General features: G+C 46.5%; 1 protein-coding gene across 4 annotated transcripts in view, besides 1 other annotated feature; it reads left to right on the top strand.

Moving 5' to 3' along the window:
• The window catches only part of SMOC2 (SPARC related modular calcium binding 2), a 226,809-nt gene that overhangs the window by 47,645 nt on the left and 151,804 nt on the right, over positions 1 to 27,360 (top strand). For all 4 annotated transcript variants that reach the window (NM_022138.3, XM_011536066.2, NM_001166412.2 and 1 more), the window contains exon 2: positions 21,087 to 21,258. In NM_022138.3, coding sequence (NP_071421.1) covers positions 21,087 to 21,258 — 172 coding nt within the window. The remainder of the gene's footprint in view (positions 1 to 21,086; positions 21,259 to 27,360) is intronic.
• Positions 8,109 to 8,827: an enhancer, noted in NCBI's record as "H3K4me1 hESC enhancer chr6:168897617-168898335 (GRCh37/hg19 assembly coordinates)". NCBI's record gives its function as "activates a minimal SCP1, AML or CMV promoter by ChIP-STARR-seq in naive H9 embryonic stem cells {active_cell/tissue: H9 hESC(naive)}" and the evidence as "EXISTENCE:reporter gene assay evidence [ECO:0000049][PMID:30033119]".

A 27,360-nucleotide genomic window follows, 5' to 3' on the forward strand; every position in this document is an offset into this window, starting at 1 on the left:
ATCTGGGTCCCCTTGCATCACACTGTTTTAGAATGAAATATATCAAATCGTCTGGGTCCCCTTGGATCACACTGTTTTAGAATGAAATATATCAAATCGTCTGGGTCCCCTTGCATCACACTGTTTTAGAGTGAAATATATCGAATCGTCTGGGTCCTCTTGGATCACAGTTTTAGAGTGAAATATATGAATCATCTGGGTCCCCTTGGATCACACTGTTTTAGAGGGAAATATATCGAATCATCTGGGTCCCCTTGGATCACACTGTTTTAGAGTGAAATATATCAAATCGTCTGGGTCCCCTTGGATCACACTGTTGTAGAATGAAATATATCAAATCGTCTGGGTCCCCTTGCATCACACTGTTTTAGAATGAAATATATCAAATCGTCTGGGTCCTCTTGGATCACAGTTTTAGAGTGAAATATATCGAATCATCTGGGTCCCCTTGGATCACACTGTTTTAGAGGGAAATATATCGAATCATCTGGGTCCCCTTGGATCACACTGTTTTAGAGTGAAATATATCAAATCATCTGGGTCCCCTTGGATCACACTGTTTTAGAGTGAAATATATCGAATCGTCTGGGTCCTCTTGGATCACAGTTTTAGAGTGAAATATATTGAATCGTCTGGGTCCCCTTGGATCACACTGTTTTAGAATGAAATATATCAAATCGTCTGGGTCCCCTTGGATCACACTGTTTTAGAATGAAATATATCAAATCGTCTGGGTCCCCTTGGATCACACTGTTTTAGAATGAAATATATCAAATTGTCTGGGTCCCCTTGGATCACACTGTTTTAGAATGAAATATATCAAATCGTCTGGGTCCCCTTGCATCACACTGTTTTAGAATGAAATATATCAAATCGTCTGGGTCCCCTTGGATCACACTGTTTTAGAATGAAATATATCAAATCGTCTGGGTCCTCTTGGATCACACTGTTTTAGAGTGAAATATATGGAATCATCTGGGTCCCCTTGCATCACACTGTTTTAGAGTGAAATATATCGAATCATCTGGGTCCTCTTGGATCACAGTTTTAGAGTGAAATATATCGAATCGTCTGGGTCCCCTTGCATCACACTGTTTTAGAGTGAAATATATCGAATCATCTGGGTCCTCTTGGATCACACTGTTTTAGAGGGAAATATATCGAATCATCTGGGTCCCCTTGGATCACACTGTTTTAGAGGGAAATATGTCGAATCATCTGGTTCCCCTTGGATCACACTGTTTTAGAATGAAATATATCAAATCGTCTGGGTCCCCTTGGATCACAGTTTTAGAGTGAAATATATCAAATCGTCTGGGTCCCCTTGGATCACAGTTTTAGAGTGAAATATATCAAATTGTCTGGGTCCCCTTGGATCACAGTTTTAGAGTGAAATATATCGAATTGTCTGGGTCCCCTTGGATCACACTGTTTTAGAATGAAATATATCAAATCGTCTGGGTCCCCTTGGATCACACTGTTTTAGAATGAAATATATCGGGGAGGAAGACAGAGACTCCAGCCATCATTCTTTCTTTGAAGGTCATGATATTTTCTTGTGTCTCGTCAAGGCGCGCAGCATACAAGGCATTGTCACACCAGGTGGGCTCCAGAGGGGACCTTTCACTGGGCAGCTGACTCTCACTCACCCCTTGATGGCCTGCACGCCCACCCATCTTCAAGTTCACAGTGGCAACTCGGAAGCAAAGTGGTGTGCCAAGTGAGATTTCAGGATTTAGCCTTGATAGGATCTTAGAAATTGCTCCTTGCAAGCCCCTAGGTTTATCAGTGGATTGAGGGGTAGAATTGAGATTTTTAAAATGTCATGTGGACACCTTGGGTGTTTAGAGACAGCAGGTCAGTGCACCTGCCATGATGCCAGGGCTCAGGGCTCCTTGGAACAACCTTGACATCTATTGGGACATCTCCTGTCTTCAAATCCCTCCATTCTGACCACACGCTTACTGTGGCTGAGTCTGGGCTGAGGCTGCATTTGGGATTTGGATTCCCGCTCAGCACTGAGTGGGGCAGCAGGTGGAGGTGAGCCCTCTGTTGCTGCCCAGGTGTGCCCATGCATGACTTGAGACACGGCAGGGCAGCTGGGGGCAGCGGGGGCGGCTGGTCTCACTCATTAAAAGGTGACCCCGTAGGACTCTGGAGAGGTCATTCCTGATGGCAGGAAATATTTCTGCATCATCTTGTGCAAGGGGGCAGCGGGGGCGGCTGGTCTCTCTCATTAAAAGGTGACCCTGTAGGACTCTGGAGAGGTCATTCCTGATGGCAGGAAATATTTCTGCATCATCTCATGCAAATCATTGCACATGCTGCTCACGCCAGCCTTGCTTCCATGCTCCTGAGTAATGCCGTGTTTTTGATCTTGGTCTTGTGGAAGCTGGAGAATTTGAACTATGAGGATGCAAGAGACAGATGATGCTGAACGGACATTAACTTTATTTTTATTAAAATCACAAGTTAACTCTCACAGGTGAAATTTTGGATGCTAAGATAATGCAAAGATGTTAGTTTCCATAACATCCGAATCATGGGATGAGAGTCAAGAGAAGAATTAGGAAAGGAGGTCTCCAAGACCTCATGGCAGTCTGAGAAGTTTCTGGCGGCTGGAAGGTGAAGACTGCTTGGTCTCATGATGATGTCACCCATGGAGCATCTTTTAAAATAAGTATTTGGGATCAATTCAGCTGTAAGATCCTCCTGGGCAACTCCCACCAGTCAGCCAGAGCTTCCTGTGCGTATGTAAAGATCAAAAACATTATTGATAATAACAATAAACTATTTAATAAAAATTTAAACCAAAACATTAATTTGATACTCTATTTAAAGTATCTGCATGAGCTGTGGGAATGTGTCTACTCTTGTCAGACACAGATACAGAAGAGCCATTGAGTTGACTTAATTGTGATTTTATTTTGTTATTTTTAAAGAGATTGCTTGTTGGCCGTATTATAAGTTAAAATTAAGCGGGAACCTTAACTGCAGAAATGATAAACCCCATGGAGAGTGAACTGTGCTGTTCATCATCTTAACTTCTCTCTGGAATAAGTGCAGGTATCGCTAACTACATCGAAATATTATTTTTAACCATTTTCGAGCCACCCACACATTCTCCCGCATTCTTCTTTTTGATACATTTCATTTTCTCACTTTAGAAGGAAGTCTCCTAATTCTGAATTTCTTTGAACATGGCTCAGTCTTACTGGTCTGCATCTGGCATTACTAATGCACTTAATTAAACAAAATAATGTCTCCCCAATTTTTTATTCATGGAAGAGAAATTACAGGTTGTATCTGAAGGGAATATTTCTCTTGAAAGGAAAAATATAGGACTTACCTATCTAAATGAGAAAAGTCAGTTGTATTTAAAATGGAAGTTTCAATTTGCCAAGCACATGAGAATACCGTTGGCTGGCCCCATCCTCTCCAAGATACGAGGCACACACACACATGCATGATGCTCATTTTTAATCCACAAGACACCCACCTACCTTTCCATAGTTTTCAGTTCACCTTCTATTTTCAAAGCAAGAACTATGCAAACATAAAGGAAGCTCTACCACCTCTCAGCCTGCTAGCCCTAGGCCAAGGGGCAAATTCGCACAACAATGGGTTGATCAAATCTGACCAATCTCAACTTCACAAAGTCACTCTTACAGGTGTCACTCAAAACCAACAACTCAGTCCAGTGATAAGGGTGAAAAAGTGTGGCAGAAAATATACACACAAGCATCTGTTACGAATTTCATAGTTATTACCACATGATTAAATAAAAAGTATTGCAGTGTGAGGTAGGTTTCTCTAAATCAACTTTTCTTTCAGTCTCAAGATGACGTGACCTACGAGGTTGATGACATTTTAGAGAGAGCACTGTCTCACAGGACAAAATGTGGATGGTGACCAGAGGCACATACCTGTCCTGACGCTCTCCCACCACCACAAAATAATTTGTCACTCTGAGCAAGACATTGCATTTCTCTGGCTTTAATATTGCCATCTATAGAGTACAGAAATGTGCCTTCTCTTCCTTGTGTTGTAGGTTTGTTAGGATCGAATGGAATCTGTTTCAGCATCACTGCATGACGTCGTAAGGCTGACTTTCCTTGAGCTCTCCATACATTGTGAAGGTAGCTTCAAAGGAAGAGTTCACAAATTTGAATGAAGACTAAATTGTTGGAATGTTTAGATATGCTCAAAAGTGATTTTTTTTTTTTGAGACAGAGTCTTACTCTGTCATCCATGCTGGAGTGCAGTGGCAGGATCTCAGCTCACTGCATCCTCTGCCTCCTGGGTTCAGGCAATTCTCCTGTCTTAGTATCCTGAGTAGCTGGGACTACAGGTACACGCCACTACGCCTGCCTAATTTTTGTACTTTTAGTAGAGACGAGGTTCCACCATATTGGTCAGGCTGGTCTCGAACTCCTGATCTCAGGAGATCCACCTGCCTCGGCCTCCCAAAGTGCTGGGATTACAGGTGTGAGCCACCACACCTGGCCTCAAAAGTGATTTAGTTAAAGAACTGACTTGAACATTTATCTGCATAAGTATGGATTTGTTAAAAACTTAATTCCTTTCCCTTCATAATCTTACTTTGTACAAGATCTTCTGTAGCTTTGCATGATGATGAAGGCAAATGTTTTGTGAATGATGTATGGATGGCAAAGTAAGTGACAAGTTTCCAGAAGCGAAGGAAAACTGTTACTGTTCAGAAAATGATGTTCAAAGTACAAAGGCCAAGATATCTTCAGAATGGAAACCACTGTGATAAGATCTGGCTGTCTAATAGTATTGCAACTTAAAATTATATTAATTTGATATATTAATATCAACATTTTAGGGATATTAAATCCTAGGTAGTTAAAATTAGCTTTTGACAAACAAGTTGACATTGCGGACATGATTTTATTTTTCAAAAAAGTGTATAAGTCCTAGTTTTTCTTTTCTTAGTTAAATGACAGCCAAGAAAATAAATTTCATCTGAATATTTATTTCATCAGACATATTAGTTTTTAACTGTCTTTATCTTTTCTATTTTAATTGGTTCTTGCTATTCAGTGTCTGCCAAGAATAACTTCCAGAGGAGTTGTTCTTCAAAAAACAAAATTAGATTCTATGTGGTAGCCACCTTTCATAAGTGCATTTGGTAACCTTAAAATATTATGAGTGTGGGATCATTCCGATGCCATTGGAACGATCCTGAAGTCTTTTCTCTGTTTCCATCATAAACCTCATTGTTTTCTTGGTTTGACATTATTCCAGGCATATTGGTCTGAATCTTGGCAAGTGTATTAGATGGTTATTCCAGATGTTACTAAGAGCAGTTTTCCTTCTACACGCTCTGAGTGCAAGCATTCTTCATGACATGGCAAAGCTAAGAGCAGCTTTCCTTCTACACACTGTGAGTGCAAGCGTTCTTTAGGACATGGCAAAGTTTTGGTCTGGGCTCAGGTAGTTCAGTGGTAGGGCAGGCATGTGATAAGCTGGTCTCCTTAGGTTTCAGCAGACACGCACCTAATGCGCACCCAACCAGTAAATACATGAAAAGAGTGAATACTTTGCCTCTCTTCTTCCTTCTCCTCTTTTTCTGAATTTAACACCTAGATAGACTTCTTCTTGGCTTTAGCCGAAACACTTTACTAGGGCTAAAGTGCCCATCAGAATCTTTTTGGATAAATGAACACACACAGCAAACATTTTCTTCTATGCATTTTCACAGCCAACAAGATAGGGGATCACTTCCTAAGCACGTTGAAAATGAGTGGGCAGTGCCCTTTGACTTACGCTGCTTAGAGTGCCACTGATTTCCTGGTAAGCCTAAGACTTGGAGGAGACGTGAATGGAGAAATGCACCTCTCCTCATACTGGGGTTTTGCGATTCTTTCCCAAAGGGCTGGGAGTGAGAGTGAACCCTCGGCTGGAGCAGCCCCATCCCAGCAGCTGAAGGGCAAGGGAGGTGGCTGGGAAGGGCGGGCACCACTTCGCTCCCAGCTGCTGGGATGGAATCACAGCCTTGTCTAAGTGCACTGGGCCTGGGAGGGCTGGGATGGACCATCCTGGCTGAGGCCTCCCTCTGCCTGCAGTTCCTGGGGAATAGGGAACCTCCCTTGGGCCGGGGTGTGCTCACCTCGCTCGGCCTTGCCCCTTCCCTCATGCCTGCATCCTCCAGGCCCCGCCTCTGGCACCTTCCTGAAACCCGCAGGGAACCTGCTCACACCATGACCCTTCTCAGAGGGTCTAAGGTAAGAGCAAAACAGGGTGGGCTCAGGACACAGACACCTCCTGGCTCAGAGTGGTTCCAGGAAAGCCATGCTCCTGCGCCCTATGTGGGCTCCTGCAGACCAGGCTTTGTCTTGCTCTGAGTGAGTCACAAAGGAGGGACCTCCGGCCAAGGGAAAGGCTCCTTGTGGCCCAGGTGTAGGTCCCTCTGCGGGTCCACCCCCCTCTAACTGAGGCCCTGTGGAAAGCCCACCGTGGCAGGTGGATCTTCTTCACTTCCTCTCTCAGCCACTGGCTGACGCCAGCCAGGGTGACCTTGTCCGCGGCTCCCGGTGCCCACCGCTGGGGTCGCTTCCAGAGCTCCAACATTTTCCTTGGGAACCTGAGTTTTTAATTCTATCTCTTTGTCACATTTAATTTTTCTATAAAGTACAGATCGTAGATGTGGGATGCTGTGAGCACCTCCCGAACGATAAATGAGTGTGTGTTTGCTGTGGTGGCAGCCCTGAAGTTCGCAATGCCCGGGAAGCGTTTGGTGAAACTTTAAAGAAAGCCCAGGTGACTCCTCCTGGGGAGCAGCGCTTCGCAAACACCTCAGGCCTGCGTCTGCCACTCCCACACTGCCTGCCCCCTTTGGCCACAGGACACAGGCGTGACCCGGGTCACAGGGCTCTGCTAGCTCATGGCTTCACTCACCTGCGCGGTTCCCTGGCAGCCTCACCCACCTGCAGGGTTCACCTGGGGGCTCCACCCACCTGTGCAGTTCCCCATGGTGGCTTCACCCACCTGCACGGTTCACCCACCCACACGGCCCGCCCTGCCCTCCTTGGCCTCCTCACCGATGAGCGGTCAGGGCCGGGCCGAGCTGGGAGCTCAGGCCTCAAAGCCTATGGGTGCCCTGCATGCATTTCCTCTCGCCTCCTCGCTCTTTTCTTTTAATGTCTAAAATACCTTTGAAGTCCCTCAAAATCCTCTGTACTCCCTCCACAAAAGTCTCCAAGCTTCTCATCCTCCTGTAATTAAGGTGTTTCTATTCTCTCTGTAATTAAAAGTGTGAATTTCAAGACACTGTTCTTAAGTTACTCTGCTTGGCATTTAGGATTTGTTCGATTGGTCACAGAGCCTGGAAGCTTTTCGGTACTCATCTTGTTGCAACTGTTTGTTTCTTGGGCATTTTGTGGAAAACACTGGGGTTTGGGAAGGCAGGGTGGGGAGTGCTTGCCCTGCAATCCCTGTTTCTAGATAACACTGTCTGGAAGAGCTGTCTGCAGTGATGGAAATGATTTATGAGCTGCCTTGTCCCAGACAGCAGCCACTAGCACAGGAGGCCATGAGGACTCAACACATAGCAAATGAGCGACTGTCTTCAGATTTTACTTCATTTTAGTTAATTTAAACGTGAATAGATTCATGTGGCTAATGGTTTGTGTGTTGGACTGTCCAAGCCTGGGGGAAGCCTACCCATGCTCGGGGGTGATGGTGGAGTTGCAGACGGGACCAATCGCCTGTCGCCCCAGCCCTCGAGTTCTGTCCCGAGAGGTCCTTTCTTCTGAGAGGTTTCTTCCTTGGCCGGCACCTGGACGGGGCTGCGGCCTGAGAGGTGTCAGGTGAAGGACTGCAGGAGGCAGCGGTGAGGGCCCCCACCCTGGGGCCTCCCGAGCCCTTCCCTGCCCATCTCCAAGATTGCACTGTGCACCTCAGCGTGGGGACCCTTCTGAGTGGGGTGTGATGGCTTTTCAGTTGTTCCATTTCAGAGGACTGTGGGGAGAATTCTCTTGGAAGGATTCCATGTCTGGGCTATCGCATAGTGTAAACAAAGGCTGTCGAAAATTCAAAGAATCTGTTTTAATGCGTGACCCAAGGTGAGAGGGGAACAGGAGCCTGACCGGAGCCCCCACCGCCTCTCCTCCAGGCGAGGGGAAGATGCGGCCCCCGGCAAGCATGGGGAAGGCTGAGCAGAGGGCTAGAGGGGGCTCTGTGGCCCAGGCCCGCCCCTTCCTCTCAAAGCCTGTGAGTGTAAAGCTATGCGAGAGCCCTGGGGCTGCCGTCCTGGGGAAAGAAGGCCCAGCCCTGGCCCTGTGGTTAAGGGCCCTGGTTGGAACGGAGGGCAGGGCCCGGGCCCCAAGCCCATGACTGGGTTCTCCTTCCCTCGCAGAGGAGCCCGGTGGTCACTGGGAGCCTCAGCTGTGCGTGGTCAAATGAGGTGCCTGGGCTGGCATCTTCGTGTGTTCCTGGGTGACCCTGTGAGCAGCTCCGTTTAGCCTCCAGCCCTGACAACATCCCTTCCCAAAGGGACGGCCTCTGCACCTGCCCCCAGGCGTGGGCAAAGGGGATCCAGCTCTTTTTATTACAGAGAAAAGAATTCGCCCTTCCTTTCATAGGTATCTGTGGCCTCCGCGGCATGTGGTGGTGAATGCGGATGGAGGTGGGGGTCTTCTTGAGTGCCCTCTCTCCTCCAGGGACCCTCCTGCCTACCCGGGCAGTGGGCACGCAGATCCCTCAGTGACGGGGGAAGCAGGTTCCTAGGAGTCCTGAGTGGGAGCAAGAGGCCTGCCCCCGGAACGTACCGTTCTCTGGACATTCATGGGACCAATCCCCGTTAGGAGCCCGTGGTCTTGTCAGGAAAACCTGGCTCAGATGAAGTGAGAGACAAACTCGGTTTTCGGGTTATTCAATCATCGCCCTGCATTGGCAGCTAAGCATTCTTAGTTTTGAGGTCTCCTTACAACCACGTTTTGCCCCCCACAAAGCAAAATAAATGGACACAGTCAGAACTGTGATGATGGGGGGTGCTGAAGGGCTATAGGTGACATTTAGAATAAAATGAAGTCTCACTGCCTTTAGATGGAGACACAGGGCTGGAGGCTGCCTGGACTTTATGCAGAGATCAGAGGCCCCTGACCTTTACCGCTGGGCCATTTTGTCGTACTTTTAACTCACGGGACTGCACAGCCGCTGCCCATACAGGGGAGCCGTTTCTCTTCACCAGCATGAGTGGGAGACAGGTGATCTGTGGAGCTGCCTCTCGGACATATTGTTTCCAGCAAGGATCTGCCTTTCTGTTTCCTATTTTAAATCCTTCAGTTATGCCTCTCAGTGGAAATGATTTCACCGAATAACACAGTCTCCACTGAGGTTTGGCTAAGAAACAAATTATCTGGTATCTTGGCGTTTGGATGCATTTCCCTGGCTTTCCAGGTTACTCTCATATTCTGTAACATGTATTTTAGTGTAATTTGCTCTAAATGCTTTGAAATGAGCAAGAGCCTCAGAAAAGAAACTCTGGCTGAATGCCTTTGAAAATGTCACTTCATCAGCAAACGCATTCGCTATTCCAGGGAACCCTAAGGACAGAGAGGGAAAGAGTGGCTGTCCGGCGGGTAGTTTAGCTGTGCCAGAAAATGTCGAGGCTATCAGCGAATTTGTGAATTATATACTGTAATAAAAACAGAGCTACTTCTTCAGTAAAAGAGGTCAGGTCATTGGGGTTGTCTGTGTCCCTGGAATGGTAGGGGAGCCGCTCTTTTCTGATCGCCCTTCCTGCTGCAGGCTGAGTGGTGAGAGAGCCGCAACATGTGACTGTGTTGCATGAGGACGGCCAGGGCCCATAGCCTGTCTACTACACATGGAAACCCTGGGTCCTCCCAGCCCTACGAGTCAGAGTCTCTGGGGGGATGGCCAGGGCCCATAGCCTGTCTACTGCACATGGAAACCCTGGGTCCTCCCAGCCCTACGAGTCAGAGTCTCTGGGGGGATGGCCAGGGCCCATAGCCTGTCTACTACACATGGAAACCCTGGGTCCTCCCAGCCCTACGAGCCACAGTCTCTGGGGGGACAGCCAGGGCCCATAGCCTGTTTACTACACATGGAAACCCTGGGTCCTCCCAGCCCTACGAGCCACAGTCTCTGGGGGGACAGCCAGGGCCCATAGCCTGTCTACTGCACATGGAAACCCTGGGTCCTCCCAGCCCTACGAGCCACAGTCTCTGGGGGGACAGCCAGGGCCCATAGCCTGTCTACTACACATGGAAACCCTGGGTCCTCCCAGCCCTACGAGCCACAGTCTCTGGGGGGACAGCCAGGGCCCATAGCCTGTCTACTACACATGGAAACCCTGGGTCCTCCCAGACCTACAAGCCAGTCTCTGGGGGTGGAGATGAGAGTCCATTGCCCGGGAGACGGTGCTGCATGCTGCCGCTGAGAGCCACTGCGATTCCAGGTGCCGTTGGGCATGTGGGAACCGCAGTCCAACGTGTGCTTCATACTTACTTTCATGGTTGATTTGTACTTTTATTTTCAGATACTTCTCATTTAACCTCTGTAATCTTGTCACTGGGTAATCACTCCCCAGGTAGCATGTTTGCTTTTGCTATCAGTAAAGGTCGGAGTTTATCTGATCTTTTGTGCGTTGCAGCCCAGAGACCGATGAGCTATACATGAGCTATGAAGTGTGCGGCAGATGGGGCAGTGATGAGAGTCAAACCTTCAGGTTAGAAGTCAGATCAGTTTTTCCCTATATGCCTACAGCAGAGAATTCCAACTGTGTGTTACCTCCCAAAGTTTTAATTGTCTTCTACGTGTGAAGGAAATAAGTTTATGTATTTCCAGTGCGTATACTTTTATGTCAATTGGAAACTACTACTTTATATCCAGTCATCCTGTAATTTTCCACTGGGAGCCCGTGAGGAGCTACACATTTCATTTTTTTAACCAGAACCAATAGGGGACTGTGGAGCAGATTGGCCCTGGGGTCCCACGCTGACCAGCAGTGCAATCAGGAAGGAGTGAGTTAATTAATCACTCTGTTTCCATGTTCTTCTCCGCACAATTGGACTAATGATAGCATTTAATGCAGAAGATTGTTAGGTTAAAGGTACTAATGCAGTAAAGTGTTTAGAACAATGCCTGGCCCGGGTGCTCAGTGTTCAAGCTGTGAGCAGGGAAAGAGGCTAACAGAGATGAAGTCCATGCCGGGTGCAGTGGCTCATGCCTGTAATCCCAGCACTTTGGGATGCCAAGGCAAGTGGATCACCTGAGCTCAGGAGTTCGAGGCCAGCCTGGGCAACATCCCAAAATACAAAAATTAGCTGGGCATGGTGGCCCCTGTGGTCCCACAGCAACTCGGGAGGCTGAGACAGGAGAATCACTTGAACCCAGGAGGCAGAGGTTGCAGCGAGCCCAGATCGCCCCACTGCACTCCAGCCCGGATGACAGAGTGAAACTCTGTCTCAAAAAAAAAAAAAAAAAAAGAAGAAGAAAAAAGAAAAAAGAGATGACATCCGAAGAGGGTTGAGCAAGAGAAGGGGAGACTGAAGTAGGAGGAGAGGGAACTCTGAATGCTGGAGGTGTTTTGTACTTGGTGTTGGCGGGTCTCCTGTTGACTCGGGTGGAAGGACAGCATTCACGCGTGGAACCTGACGGGGTCCCTCACGGAGGTGTTCTAGGGTCTCCGCGTGGTCATGCCCCGTGTTCTTGCACTCATTTTCTCCAACACCTTCTCTCGGCCCTGCTACTTGCCCCGGTGATTCTGTAGGGACCCCGGGTGGCTACGCGAATGTGGCTCTGAAGACAACACTCTTCACTGAGCTGCAGCTCTGGCCAGACACTGCTGGACTCCAAGGCCATGTGGGTGCACAAGCTTCTCTACCCCCCGAGGAGGTACCGTCCATGGGCTCAGGAGCACTGGGCTTAGAGTCCATGCCCATGCATTCCGTGTCTACAAGGGTACTGCTTCACAGTGGCCGCCGAGGACGCACACGAGTGCTTCACACTCATCCAGGGGCATCTCGATTCTCACTGGGACCCTGGATAAGAAGCACTTTTGTAGCTAAAGCAATAAGGATGGTGCCTGAGGCTGCATGAACCCCCGGAACACTTTTAAGTGACCAAAAGCATGACAAGACTCTCCGACAGAGTGGGCATTGCTTATGAGAGGGGGAAGTTCAGCTGTGTTACAGTATTTCATAGGGGACTTGTACAATCTACCTTGTGCCTCTAAACACTTCTGACCCCTAAGAATCGTGGCCGGATGCTAAGGATAATCTTTCGTTGTCATTGCCAGAGATAATTATTGCATTAATGTAACACCATCCTCATCATATCTTATTAGGAAGAATTTTAGAATAACAGAGCTTCTACTGAATCTCAAATAAAACTGGATTGGAACAATGAATAACCTGAGAGATTTCTTAAATTATCTCAAAAATTACTAACAGGGAGGAAAAACATCCATTTTCATCATTGAAATTAACATGGATGTGGAGACAGGGAAGGAAAATAAACACAAAATAAATGTTTTGGAAAAGGAGAAGAGAGTTGCAGAGCAAAAAGTACAATAAAGCACCATCCGTCCCTTGCTGCGGTGCCAGGAACCTGCATTGTCCATCCCTCGCTATGGGGCCAGGAACCTGCATCGTCCCTCCCTCGCCACGGGGCCAGGAACCTGCATCATCTGTCCCTCGCTATGGGGCCAGGAACCTGAAGCCCATTCTGCAGAATGTGAGGTGGGGGGAAGATGGAACCAAGAGCTCTAGGAAATCCTGGCTCAGGGGACCAAAAGCCAGTAAAGCATTGGTAAATGCACTTATAAAAAGTTCCAGGTCCACTAAAAAACAATAAAGGCAGTGTGGCAAACAGAGAAACAACCACGGCCTCAGGGCTCCTGCTTTCCTCTGGGATCTCCGTACCCAACAGCGTCACCCAGGGGTGGCTGGGGTTCAGCCTTGCTTGGTTGTGTGTGCATCCTGAGAGGTCCGTCTTGATTCCCCACAGAAGGTGGGAGCGTCTCCAGGCGTTTGGTCCTGAGAGGGGCTGCCTCGCCCTGGCCACATCCTCCTGCACATCCCTTGGGTCTTCCCGCTGGCTGCAGATACCTCACTCTGGCAGCTCTGTGCAGGGCTGAGCCCCTGCCCTCTTTCCTGCATCTGCCTCCATCTTTCCCAGGCTTCCTGAAGAAACCTGCTCTCTCTTCTTGAACTTCTAATTTAGCTCCCTTTTTACTGCACACTTCTCATTTTCTCTTTGAAAATGATCACCAGCAAGAGGATCCCTTAGTGCTCACACAGTAGAGTTGAAATGGCAAACATACCCTATATTCATTTAAATGGTAGATAAGCAGGACCTCTGCTCCAAGGGCTTCTTGCAAATAACATCTTCATATCTTTTCCAAACACTTTCTCGTGCACTATCACATTTTGTTTTCACGATCATCTTTATGAAACAGGAATCCTTGTTATCACCTCCATTGGACAAGTGAAGAAATCAGCTCTCACATGGCTCCATACACGTCCCTGGTCACTTTGCTCTTCTGCCATCGCCAAGGTCAGCATGTTCCCTTTGACCACAGAGCCTTGCCAGCCCGATGGCCCTCCATGCCCTGCATCTGCCCACAGCCACCTTCTGCGTATTTATTGGGTTTGTGGCTGTAATCTAGTCATGCAGATTAAAACAAATTCATCTCATTCAATTGTTTGCTCTTGGTTTTAAGGTCCTATGGATACCCAGTAAATAGAACAAAAAGGCAAAAGGGGGTCAGGAATGCCGATGGGACCTACATTATCACCACTTTCCTAACTCACTGAGTTATTTCACTCAGACTCTTAAACTTACTAAGACAAGCTGCCTTTGAAAAGCTGACGACCAGTGTCTCTGATTCATGCCTCACTTACTTTTTTATTTTATTTTAATTTAATTTAATTTAATTTAATTTAATTTAATTTATGTTATTTTGAGACAGAGTCTTGCTCTGTCGCCCAGGCTGGAGTGCAGTGGCACAATCTTGGCTCACTGCAACCTCCACCTCCTGGGTTTAAGCGATTATCCTGCCTCAGCCTCCTGAGTAGCTGGGATTATAGGTGTGTGTCACCACGCCTGGCTAATTTTTTGTATTTTTAGTAGAGGTAGGGTTTCACTGTGTTAGCCAGGATGGTCTTGATCTCCTGACCTTGTGATCTGCCTGCCTTGGCCTCCCAAAGTGCTGGAATTACAGGTGTGAGCCGCCGTGCCTGGCCTTTTTTTTTTTTTTTTTTTTTTTTTTTTTTGAGACAAAATTTCACTCTTGTTGCCAAGGCTGGAGTGCAGTGGCGCAATCTCTGCTCACTGCAACCTCCGCCTCCTGGGCTCAAGTGATTCTCCTGCCTCAGCCTTCCATGTGGATGGATTACAGGCACCCACCACCATGCCCAGCTAATTTTGGTATTTTTAGTAGAGACGGGGTTTCAGCATGTTGGCCAGGCTGGTCTCGAACTCCTGACCTCAGGTGATTTGCCTGCCTCGGCCTCCCAAAGTGCTGGGATTACAGGTGTGAGCCACCATGCCTGGCCACCTTGCTTGTTTTCTAAATGAGCAGAGAGCACTTACGTCACGTCTCCACAGTGAGCTCCTCCTGGTGAGTCTCTGTGCTCCTGTGAGGCACCTCCGTCAGCAGGGCTGTGCTGAGGCTGGGAAGCAAATGCCCTCCCCGCATGGTGGTTTTCTTCATGGTACTCGTCCACATATGAAAGAGCTCGTTATTTTATCCTCACAGCTACCTCAAAGGTGACAAGGTATTATTACTCTCATTTTACAGATTAGCAAATTGAGTGTCAGAGATTGCACGGGTGGAAAAATGCAGAACCAGCATTAACTCTCCCCTGTTGGTGCAGAGCCCAGCGGCACCACCCATTTGTGCTAGGAACATGATGCCGGCTCAGTGTCCCGCAGAGGCTGTGGTGGCCAGAGCCCAATGTTAATGCCCCCAAACTGAGCATCTGTGACTCAGTCTAGTGCATCAGGGAGGATCAAAAAAACGCACCACAAAATTGGTGAGATCCTGTGCAGAGTTGGCTCGTTGGCCTCATCTGTGTCATGTTGAGGACAGCACACTCCCCAGAATCCTCTGCCGGAGGGAGGAGCCCAGCACCTCCTTGTTTTCTGTTTGAACCCCGGTCTCCTCAGGTCCTCAAGTGATGCCAGCACATTGATTTGAGAGGCACTGGCCACCACGATGACACACGAGGCCTGCTTTCAGTGGCATCCTTTCCGATTTCTTCCTACTGCTGGCCTTGACACATCCACGTCTGTGGATTTGCCCTGGGATGCCAGCTCACATGGCTTCTCATCCAGCTCCTCTGGGTTCCTTAGATGGGCGGTCCCCAACCTTTTCGGCATGAGGAACGTTTGACATTTTTTCCATGAACTGGTGGGTGGGGGATGGTTTCCAGATGATTCAAGCATGTTACATTTATTGCGCACTTTATTTCTATCATTACATTGTAATATATAATGAGATAATGTGCAACTCGCCATAGTGTAAAATCAGTGGGAGCCCTGAGCTTGTTTTCTGGCAACTAGATGGTCCCATCTTGGGGAGAAGGGAGACAGTGAGAGATCATCAGGCATTAGATTCTCATAAGGAACCCGCAACCTAGACCCCTCAGATGCGCAGTTCACAATAGGGTTCACACTGCTGTGAGAATCTAATGGTGCTGCTGATCTGACAGGAGGTGGAGCTCAGGGTAATATGAGCAATGAGGAGCAGCTGTAAATACAGATGAATACAGGGTTGGGGACCTCTGCCTTAGGTCATCTTTTAGGAAGCAGCAGATATCCCCCCAGATCAGCTTTGACTGATCTTCCCTCTGAGCCACTCAGGCACCTGTGTTCTTCCTTATACAGCGTGGTCATTTGTGGATGTACATTTCTGCCCTCTGGATTTTCAGCTTCACTAGGGCAGGCTCTTCTTCAAAATCCCATCCTCCTGGAGGCTGGTAGAATGCCTTTTACAGAGAGGGGTCACTTAATAACTATTTAATACATTCAGTTTAAGCTGGGTCTGACTTTTGAGCTAACTGGAAACATGAGGCTTTACTCTTAAAGACTGGGAGCAAGAAGTCGAAGACAATAAAATACTGAAGTTAAGGGTTTCTAAAATACATATAAAGTGGTGCAGCTAACTTCCATCAGATGCGAGATGAATGAGTGAATGAAATGTCCGTCTCTCAGATACCGGATGAATGACTGAATGAAATGTCCATCTCTCAGATGCCAGGTGAATCAGTGAATGAAATGTCTGCCTCTCAGATGCCAGATGAATGACTGAATGAAATGTCCATCTCTCAGATGCCAGATGAATGAGTGAATGAAATGTCTGTCTCTCAGATGCTGGATGAATGACTGAATGAAATGTCCATCTCTCAGATGCCAGATGAATGAGTGAATGAAATGTCCGTCTCTCAGATGCTGGATGAATGACTGAATGAAATGTCCGTCTCTCAGATGCTGGATGAATGACTGAATGAAATGTCCATCTCTCAGATGCCAGATGAATGACTGAATGAAATGTCTGTATCTCAGATGCCGGATGAATGACTGAATGAAATGTCCATCTCTCAGATGCTGGATGAATGACTGAATGAAATGTCCATCTCTCAGATGCCGGATGAATGAGTGAATGGAATGTCCGTCTCTCAGATGCCGGATGAATGACTGAATGAAATGTCCGTCTCTCAGATGCTGGATGAATGAGTGAATGGAATGTCCGTCTCTCAGATGCCGGATGAATGACTGAATGAAATGTCCGTCTCTGGGAGAAAATGTCCTGTGGAAAGTTATGTTTTCCTTTAGCATTTAAGTTTTGTATTGCGGGCTCTGAAACAGGATTTCCATATTTGCTTGGAAGATTTAGGTTCTGTGTTCTAAAAGAGTAGGACCCTGTTTTCTGAAATCTGAGGAAGTCCAGGCTTTAAAATGGAGAAATGATTCTTTAAACAGGCTTGAGTCTGTAGCCCCTCTCCCACCTGTCCCCAGTGACTTTCAGAATTGTGCAGGCTCTTCACGCACTGGGCCTCATTGCCAGTGCTGCCCTGTCTTCTGTTCAATCTCATTTCTTCCTGTGTGCACCTCCCACTAAGAAAGCAAACACGTGGATGCCATCTATTTTCTCTTGGCCTATTATTTGGAAAGTGTGTGCTTTTGAGAATTTTTTTTTTTTTGAGACAAGGTCTCACTTGCCCAGGCTGAAGTGCCCTGGTGCGTAGTCATAGCTCACTGCAACCTCCCATTCCCCGGGCTCAAGTGAGCCTCCCACCTCAGCCTCCTAAGTAGCTGGGTCCACAGGTGCACATTTATTGTGCACTTTATTTTGTTACACCCCCATACCTGGCTAATTTCCTCCCACCCCTGATAGAGACAGAGTCTCACTGTGTGGCCCAGGCTGGTCTCAAACTCCTGGCCTCAGCAGATCCTTCCATCTTGGCCTCCCAAAGCTCTGGGGTTATAGGTGTGAGCCACTGCACCTGGCCTTGCAAATCTTACAGCTACAAGAATTATGTATTTCAGAGGCAACATTTCCTTAATGTCTTCTTATGTCACGTTATCTCATATAGTCAGAGACGTATTTAATCAATATTATAAGGAGAAATTTTAAACATGTTAAGATTTGAAGAGTGCTTTTACCTGTTTTGTAAACGGTTTTTGTTTTAATCTTTTTCTTCTGGCCCAAACCCAGTAATTTATTAAGAAGAAACATAGACCATGACTTTGATCCATTGAGTCTGTCTGACTGGTTTTCTAATGTGTGAGCTACTTGGTGTCCACAAAGACACTTCCTGTGCCCTCCCCCCCACCACTTCCTTACACCTGGGCTCCTCGCACCTGTGCAAATAGCACTGCTTCGTGGAAATCAAAAGAAATGAGAACCCCCTGCAATTGTGGGGTTTTTTAATAAAGTCACTCGATGTCCAGTTCATTGCATTCTACATTTAGCAAAGTACTTTTTATCTTGAATTAGTTTTAAGACTCTCAACCGAGTTCTTTTAACACATAGTGAATTCTTTGCAATAGGAATATTTATTTTTCTTGAATGGGCTGTTTATTAATGAGCACAACTTAGTTAAAAGCTTATTTTCTTACATGCACTGTCTTCCTGTGAAATTTAATTGCTATTAAACAGGAGGAAGGGGAGAAACATGTCCATAACCTGTATGTTCTCTTATCCCTGAGAAATAACACTTCCATTGTTAGTTCCGCACCAGTACATTATCAAGAATTATGGTCAAATTCCAAATGCCTGGATGCTGGGTGCTTTTATTTGAGAAAAAATGTCGAGACTGTCTCTTTCCCTTTAGAGAAAATGATAATTACAGCGTCTTACCTAAGTTCTCAGCATCTCCTCACTTAGGGTTTCAGGAAATACATAGAGACCACCTCTTAAACATAAAAATTAACAGGATTTAGGTTATTCCATCTTTTCATCTACAGTAGGAGAAAGCTATTAATAGGGCCGGCCCCTGTTTGAAACGAAGGCACCTGGGGCTCCTACTGAACACACTGCAGGTTCATGTTTTCTTTCTGTTTTCTTCCCTCTTTCTCAGTGCAAAGCTGTGCTGCCCCAGCCAGCTGTGTGCTGCGAGAACGAGGCTGCTGAGATCCTCAAGTACCTGTGAGGCGCCTGTGACTCGGAAGCATTTTATAAGATCCAAGCAGCGTCTCAGCGGGTGGAGGACCTTCCCATGGCACAGCACCCGAAGGTCATGTCTCCCAGGAGCTGCCTGCCCCCGGGGCGCCCCCCACTGCTGGAAGAGCTCAGTCAATGCGTGTTGGTGACATGAAAAATGTGGTTGAGACTCATCTGTGGCAGAATTCAACAGAATGTATTTATGTGCCATCTCTGCCCTCTTTAAGTGAAAGCATACATATTTGCAAAACCCTGAAAGGCAATGATCTGTTTTCACTTGCGTCTTAGCTAAAACAAACCTGAATCATTTCAGCAGGTGAGCTTATTCTCAGGAAAATTAGAGCACGCTGTTTGAAATGGAACAATTGTGAAAAATAGCTCACTCTGAGATGGCAAAGGCCCCATCACCTCTGGGTGCCGCTCACCTGTCTCTTGGCTCCAGCCTTCATCCCCACATCTGGGCAAGGCCACTGCCAAGTAGCTTTGTGAGCTCCAAAACACACAGGCTTACCTGTTCTTAGCCACACCTGCCACTGTCACGGTCCTCAGGTCAGGAGCTCTGAGGACCCCGCCTGGATTTCTGGTGAGGTCTGGGGCTCCCCACGGGCCGTCCGGCCCCTACAGCATCTTGTGTGCCCTACCTGGCTTTGAGTCCAGCTTTGGCTTTTGGCTAATCTCTGTTTTTAATTCTTTTATTGGCGTGAAGATTTTAAAAAATGTATGAGTAACATTGGGCAAATTATTTAAAGTTGATAAATTTCCATTAAAAAAATCACAGATTATGATTCCTTCCACTGCCCATCAAGGTCACCGTAGTTCCTGCAAAACTTGGGTCAAGATTTATCTTCAAGATAGCAGAGCAGCCCTTTTTAAAAGAACTGAGACTTAACCCACAGTGGTGCTGACAGCCCTATGTGACAATAATATAAAAGTGAGTGCAATTTCCACAGCCAGCCTTGCCGAGTTAGCTCCACTGACACAACCCACCTGGTGATCCGCAGCCACAGAGGGGTACAATGCTGATTAGCTGGGCAAAGCTAGCCTTTAAACAGAGCCAGCTGAGATGCAGACTTCAAGGTGGAAAGTTTCATTAGCTTCTCAAGGAATGCAGCATCCTGAGTTGGTGAATTTCTTTTTCCTCTCTTACTGGTAAAGGAGCATGTTGATGAGGGCCCCCCAGCTTCTGCTGAACCTCAACCCTATTTTCCCCCTGCTCAAACTGGAAGAGGGATTGGACCAGTGCTCTCTTTATCTCCACAAATGTCCCTGGGTGAACAATGCCACATAGCCCCGCTCACGTGCACACCACGTCCAGAGGGCCACGTACTACCATAGCCTATGCTCTGCCAGCCACAGCTCTGCGCGTTTCTTTCTTTCTTTTTGTTAATGCATTGTCTATGCTCTGAATCAAGGAGAATACCCCTTGGGGCAGGTGATAGTCTGGGGACCAAAGGCCTCTGACAATCCTGTTTGTCCTGGAGCACAGACGCTTCCTCAGGGTCACCTTGAGCTTCACCTTGGTGTCTGGTGTTTCGTCTGGCCTGATGGAGGCCTGGACGGGACTAGTTGGCCGGTCAGGAAGTGGCAGGACACTGGTGACTTGTCCAAGGAAAACACACGGGGCCAGCACGCCCAGATCGGAGGCTTCCCTGGGGTCCGGTGAGCTCCGAAGTCTGTGTCAAGCTGTAAAAGAGCAGGAGGGAGATGAAGGGCCTGGGGCCACCGTGGGAACTGCGGAGCACACATGGCCATTAGGTGATTTCTATGGCCTGCGGAGAGGATTCCTGTGCCTTAGGCATTTTCAGAGAAATACACAAGCTTCCTCTGGGCCATGAGGTCACTCATTCATTCAACAAACATTTATTCAAAGAACAATAGTCCAATTGAGTGCAGTCTAGTCCAATTGAATGTAGATTTCACCTACCTTCAGAGAATGTAGATGAAATTGTGTGGCACCATTTAAATCAGGAAGGATTCCCTCCCATTTCCAGATAGTGGACATTCCTGATACTCGTCACTTCCAAAAGAATGGTACAATGTGATGAATGTGGAGGCAAATTAGTCGATGAATGTGGAGGCAAATTAGTCAATGAATTCACAAAAGGAAAACATTGCTACTCAGACTTTAAGCGTTGAACTAGGCACACGTGCACCCCCTTCAAAGATCAATGATTCACATGTTGTTCTGTGTCAGACGGCCGATATTGATGTAGAGAACTTCCAAATTATCTAGGCTTTTGAAACAGATGATGGCTAAAATGTTCAGAGGTGCACGTGGCGCTTCTGGCAGGGGTGAGAACCGGGTGGTGTTATCCCTCAAGCTTTCATTCCCTGACCGTGAAGTGGCCTGAGGCAGCCTTCTGTTTTCTGCTGCTCTGAAGAATGTGTCTTTAAATTTGTCTGGCTTCTTTTTTTCTCCTTTAAGTTTTTGAGAGTGGATCAAGATAAAGACAAGGATTGTAGCTTGGACTGTGCGGGTTCGCCCCAGAAACCTCTCTGCGCATCTGACGGAAGGACCTTCCTTTCCCGTTGTGAATTTCAACGTGCCAAGTGCAAAGATCCCCAGCTAGAGATTGCATATCGAGGAAACTGCAAAGGTAAGCTGCTGTTTGATCATTCATCCAAAGATGGGTACATCCATCATCAAAATGAATGCAAACATATTTTCATACTTGATAACTTTTTACATTTACAAACTCGGGTTTATGTTGGCTCTTTTTTTACAGCATGTAAGGAAGAAGAGTAATTTCTATGAATTTTAAGAGCAGTCTTTTTTTACTTGTCTAATATTCTTTTCTTAGAATGCCTTATTCCACCATGAAAGAAATTTATCCAAATATTTCAGTTTTTTTCCCCAAAGTCTTCTAAAATTATTCTCAATAAGATTTCTTTCTTTCTTTCTCATTTTTCTTTTTAGCAAGTGGGATGTGTACAATAGCACGTGTGCAGTTTTCAGTGATTTTTTGGTGTTGATTTTATACTCTCAATTTTCCCAATTTAAGAATTAGATTCAGAGTTAAGAGTCTAATGCTTAGAGCCAAAGATTGAAATGCTTCCTACATCAGTGAAGGGTTTGATTCAGCAAAAGATGCTGATGTTTCAGAGTTATTTTCAGAAAGAGATTTACCTTGTTTGTCATAGTATCTAGGAAAAAAGACCACAAAGACTAAAGATGCCTTTGAGATGAAGTTCTGCATCATCTGGCAGTTAGCTTCAGCAATCCTCTTAAATGAAACAAAACAGCAGCCACACTGCAAACCAGCACTGAGTGCAGTGTCTACGTCCCTGCTTACCCAGGTGTGGAATAAGCTTGCTCTTCCTTTCATAATGCAATATAATACCAGGTAAACAGATTTCAGTTACTTTTGCAGACGACGAAGGCAGAATTTTGCCTTGTTCTTTAGGCCTGAGAGTTCTTCCTACTGACATTATGAAGACATTCCTATATACGGTCACAAGGATGTTTTGCTCCATGACAGACCGCATGTCCAGCAGGGGTCCCATAACGTTGTAATGGAGCAGATGTAGAAACCTGTTGGATGGCGCTTGATATTGGCATTGCGATCAAGTAGGGGAAATGACTGATGTTCAGTAATGATGCTGGGACATTCTGTTTTCCATATGAAAAGATAAGTATATAAATGAAGATGTATATATCATCTAAGTGTGTGTAAGTACACTCTATGATGTTCACACAATGGTGAACTTGCCTAAAGGTGTGTAATAGTTTGTTCTCACACTGCTAATAAAGACATACCCAAGACCGGTACATTTATAAGGAAAGGTGTTTAATTGACTCATAGTTCTGCACAGCTGGGGAGGCCTCAGGAAGCTTACAATCATGGCAGAAGGGGAAGCAAACGCATCCTTCTTCACATGATGGCAGGAAGGACAAGTGCCAAGCAAGGGAAAAAAGCCCACTATAAAACCATCAGATCTCATGAGAACTCACTATGATGAGAATAACATAAGAGAAGCCACCCCCATGATTAAATTACCTCCCACCAGGTCCCTCCCATGACACGTGGGGAACTACAATTCAAGGTGAGATTTGGGTGGGGACACAGCCAAACCATATCAGGGTGATTTCTCAGAGTGCATCCCTGTCATTAAGAAACATGTGACTTTTCCCAGATTTAGTGCTCTGAAAACAAGGAACAGCATAAACTCCCTCTGGAGCCTTGGTCTTTGCCCGGTGGCAAACTCAACCCCTATGCATTTATCTGCCAGCAGTGTGCACAGACTCCGGATTTAAAGGCCAGACTCCTGTCCACATGCACCTGTGGCTTTGCCCATGACAAATGGCTATTCATTATCAAGGGTTGTTTTTTTTTTTTTTTCTGAAATTACAGTTTGTTCAAAGTCAGAGTATTTCAGGATGCAGCATTTAAAGGCTACACAAATGCCAGGTATGGGGCACAGTAAGTAGGCAGGTAGATTCTCTAGTAAGTGTCCCTGGGAAGATGATTGTATTATACATCTGAGGGCACAAGAGAGAATGGTGCTGTGGAGCTTAAAGTCCCGTTCTGGTTTGTCGGTCAGATGCTGTTTCTAAAGTGTTTATCATGTGATGATGTTATCCTCCCCTCATGCTGGGGGAGTCATGAAGACCCCAGGACAGAAGCCCACTCAGAGGGTCCTCTGAGGACCGACAGGAGGGCCCGAGAGGGAAGTAGGTGGAGCCGGGCTGGCAGGGCTGAGTGCTGGATCCCGGAATTTGCACTCTCCTGTGGGAAATGGAAAGACACAGGAAGTCGTGGGCAGAACAGGGATGGATGCAAATTGCTGTTCTGCACGGCGCATGCTTCCCTGAGCTCACCAGGCTGCCCCATCCCAGCACCCGCCTTGTGCCTTTGTCCAGGGGTGCCAGACCCCAGCGTCACCAGCACGATTGCAGTGAGTCTTGCTGTGCTGAAGCCCTGGCGTGCTTTAGAAAGGACCACAAATGGAGGGGTGAGCTACTTTCAAAGGGAAAATGGAACTTTAATTCACTGATTAACCTCAATATGCTACTGAGATTGCAAGGAACAAAATGCAGTAAAAAATTATTTGATTCATACTTTAAATAAATGAAGTGCAGTGGCAGTATCATAGCTGAATCCCAAACACAAAGTTTAAAGATGCTGACATGAACTTAGTGGGACAGGTTTGGCAAGCACAGCTTGTGGCCTGGAATGGTCGCTGCCAGCTTGTGGAACCCACCCCAGACCTCAGGATCCATTTCAGAGAGCTGGGCTCTGGACACTCATCTGTTTGAAACAGCTCTGGGGGACTCTGGAAAACCACTTTCTATGGCCTGAGGGAGTGCCAGCCCCTTCTAGAAACAGCTAACATCTGGTGATGATGCCACACATTGACCCTCCAGTGTACCCGCACACTGAGGAGCTGACTCCATCTAACTTTAGCCCAAATAGAAAACAACAACACTTGGAAAATGTGTGGAAGTGAAAGATCTATATATATACAAATTTCACTGTAGTAGAAAAATAGTTTAAAGTTATTTAAAACACAGATGTGAAATATCTTTCTATAAAATGTCCATAAAAGTAAAGACAACATGATTAAAATTGAAAGCATTTGACATTCTTTCACTGAATTATATACTTGTATGCACTATTTACATTAAAACACACATTGAAACTTTGACTATAGTAGCAGCAATAGCTGCTCCAGCTTTCTTTGTGGTGGTAGGGAAAATAGAATATACCATTTAAAATAAATGATGTTTTGTAAATGACTGATTTATTTTTTTCCCTAAGCATCCATTCTTATCTCAAAGAAAAGGAAAATAATTTGTTGAATCTAACGTACCTGAAGTTCTATAGTTCTATATCAGTATTTTGTCCTTATAGGTTTTTTTTTCTTAGTAGACATTTAGGTTTCAGTAAACTGTACGTTATTTTAGTTTTAATTCCCGTGGTGAAAACTTGGATGAAATATCTTAGAGTCATTCAATGGGAGACACACACACACAAATACACACACACACATACATACACACACACACACACACATAGACACTCACATAAACACACACAAACTTAGTTTATTCAAGTGGACAACTGATATTTACTAAGCAGCTTGGTTCTATGTGATTCTAAAACTATGATCAATTTGCTTCAACCTGATTCTTTCAATAAGTCCTGACATTTACTTGATATTAATACATTCAGTAAATTGGCGTTTTCTTCTTACTGAATGATTCCTTGAAGAGCGCTGAGGCTGCGAGTGAGTCCATGCTGTTCTCCATCAGATAACCTCTCAGGGAGCTCGTCTCTTCATTTGATTCAGTTCAGCACTGGGTGCCCCAGAACTCAGGGACTGTGTAAGAATCTTTGTCCCTGGCAGCATCCTCCAGGTGGGAAGTGACTGGCCTGCTTCTAGCACTGGAAACGGTTTCACGTGAGATTTTCAATAGGATCCCAGATGCTCCCAACGCCCGGCCTGTCTTCAGACTCTCCTATGAGGTGGATGGCTGGGGCCCTCCGGGGTGGCAGGACACCTCCCTCCACACAAGGGCCAGCCATGGGGCACACAGCGGGGTGCACAGGGGGCCCTCATGGGACTTCTCCAGAGCCCAGTGGTGCCTACTTTGTGGGGTCATAAGCACAGGACCCCAAAGTGCCGACCCCACCCAGCTTCCCTAGCCTGCCCCAACGCTGCAAATTTGTTTACTCTGCATCTGAGAAAAAACAAGTCAGTCTGTTTCTTTGGAGACCAGCTACTCCTTTAAGAAGCATCTTTCAGACTCAAGGACACACAGCGCCCACCAAGAACAGTGTGTCTCGTTCCACACACTGAATGAGTGTCTCCTTCCACTGCCGATACTCTACTGCTAGAAGTCTTGCTTCATTGGCTAGGAAGGACAGTGGTGCGTTGGACAACTGTCCGGGGATAACGTGATTTCCAGCATGCTTCACCCAGGAAACCGCAGGGCCATGGGTTATGGAAAGTTGGCGTGGAGCCAGGTACATGGCTTGAAGGAAGCATGTTCTTCTTTCCTTTGTGTCTGACCGACGTGTGTGAGACTCACACTGGAGAAAGACTCAGATGTGATTTGATACCTTGGCTGTAGTTATAAATCTCAGCTATCTGTGCTGAGAAAGGAGAAACAATTTAAGAATAAATTTAAATATCAGATGATGTACTCTTCAGAGAAGTTTTTACAAGTGATCGCCTATGAAGTCTTAGCTTGTGGAAACAAGCGCTGTAGAAGTGGGGAGGTCACAGCACCTCATTAAACTTGGAATTTCATCTTCCCTTTTCTTGCCGTGTTCCCTTAGATAACTCCAGTCGGATGTGCCATTGAAAGGCCGCGAAGAAGCTTCCGCTTTAGCCGTAGCCTTTGAGGATGAGCATGTGAGGGATTTCTTAGACAAAGGAGGGAGGATGGTTGGTCCATCTCTCTGGGTGGAAGCTCGACACCTGTGACCCTCTCTGGCTCGTGGGCTTTTCAGGTGTCTCCCTAGCATGTGACTTCGGATCTTTGCCGTACCCAGCTGCAGGGTCACAGTGACATTCTCTTTGGACAGGGAGAACAAATGTCAATTAAACACAGATGTCCTTTTTGGTAATATCCTTGTTAGTTTATTTGTACCTGCATCTAAGCTAATTTTTCTGGATGATTATTTCAATAGGAATTCTCATTTATGTTACTGAAGAAGTTTTATACCATAAATTATGACACACAAACAAATATAAGGGAGAAGTAGGCAAAAATAAAATGGACCTAACCAAAGTAGGTCTCACTTAAATCTAAAGGATTCTGTTGGAAAGAACGCACAGACACCTGTAGTCTTCAGAATCTCGTGTGTGGTGCTGCAGCTGCCAAGGCGGCAAACGTTACAATCAGTCTGCGGAGAGACTGTTCCCCGCGCATCACAGATCTTGAAATAACTGGGTGTCACGCCCTTCTGATAGTCTAGATTTGGATGTGGGGCTGGGCTCGGAGAGGCTCCGTCCGCTTTCCGCTCCACGAGTTGCCTCCAGTTAAGTCTGTTCCCTGCTGGGGGCTGCCTTTGAAAAGGGGCTCCTGCCTCCCGTCTGCAGTTGGAGTTTTCCTAAAGAAGCAGCCTCGCACCTGCATCCTGGCTCGTGGCGGAAGACGGGCCTTGCCCTGAGCGGCCGGCTCCTTCCTAGGCCTCGCCCTGAGGGGCCGGCTCCTTCCTCTAGGCTGTCACACTGTTAGTCACTTACACACTCATCCCAGCATCCAGCCTGTCCCACTGCTGCAAACGCAGCATAGGGGCTCCTGGGGAGCAGGAGCAAAACACACTGAGCCCAGGACGGGTGAGAACAGACACGGGGCTTGGTGTCTACTCAGCAAATTGTGCTTCTGTTTCCCTCTAAGAGTATAAATATTGCACATTCCACAACAAAACCCAGGTTGAGAATTTTCTTCCCTGAAGGTAAAAGAGGGAGCACAGGATTGTCCCTTTAGATCATTCGTGTAACACAAATAAACCTCCAGGTTTTCTCTACGTGATTCCTGGAGTGGGCGCTGGCTAGTGTAGCACAGTGTCGCCTCGGCACATATGAGGCTGAGGCTGTCTTTAGCATTTTGGGGGCATTTTTACATTTTTGGTGGGTGATAGTTCTATAGGCCTGTCTCTTTTGGATGTACTATTTGGAAACAATTCAAATAGTTTACTCCATGTTTGATTAAATTCGATTTAAATGTTTTGCACACTTCACACAGT

Source organism: Homo sapiens, chromosome 6, assembly GCF_000001405.40.
Source record: "Homo sapiens chromosome 6, GRCh38.p14 Primary Assembly".
Classification (NCBI taxonomy): Eukaryota; Metazoa; Chordata; class Mammalia; order Primates; family Hominidae; genus Homo; species Homo sapiens.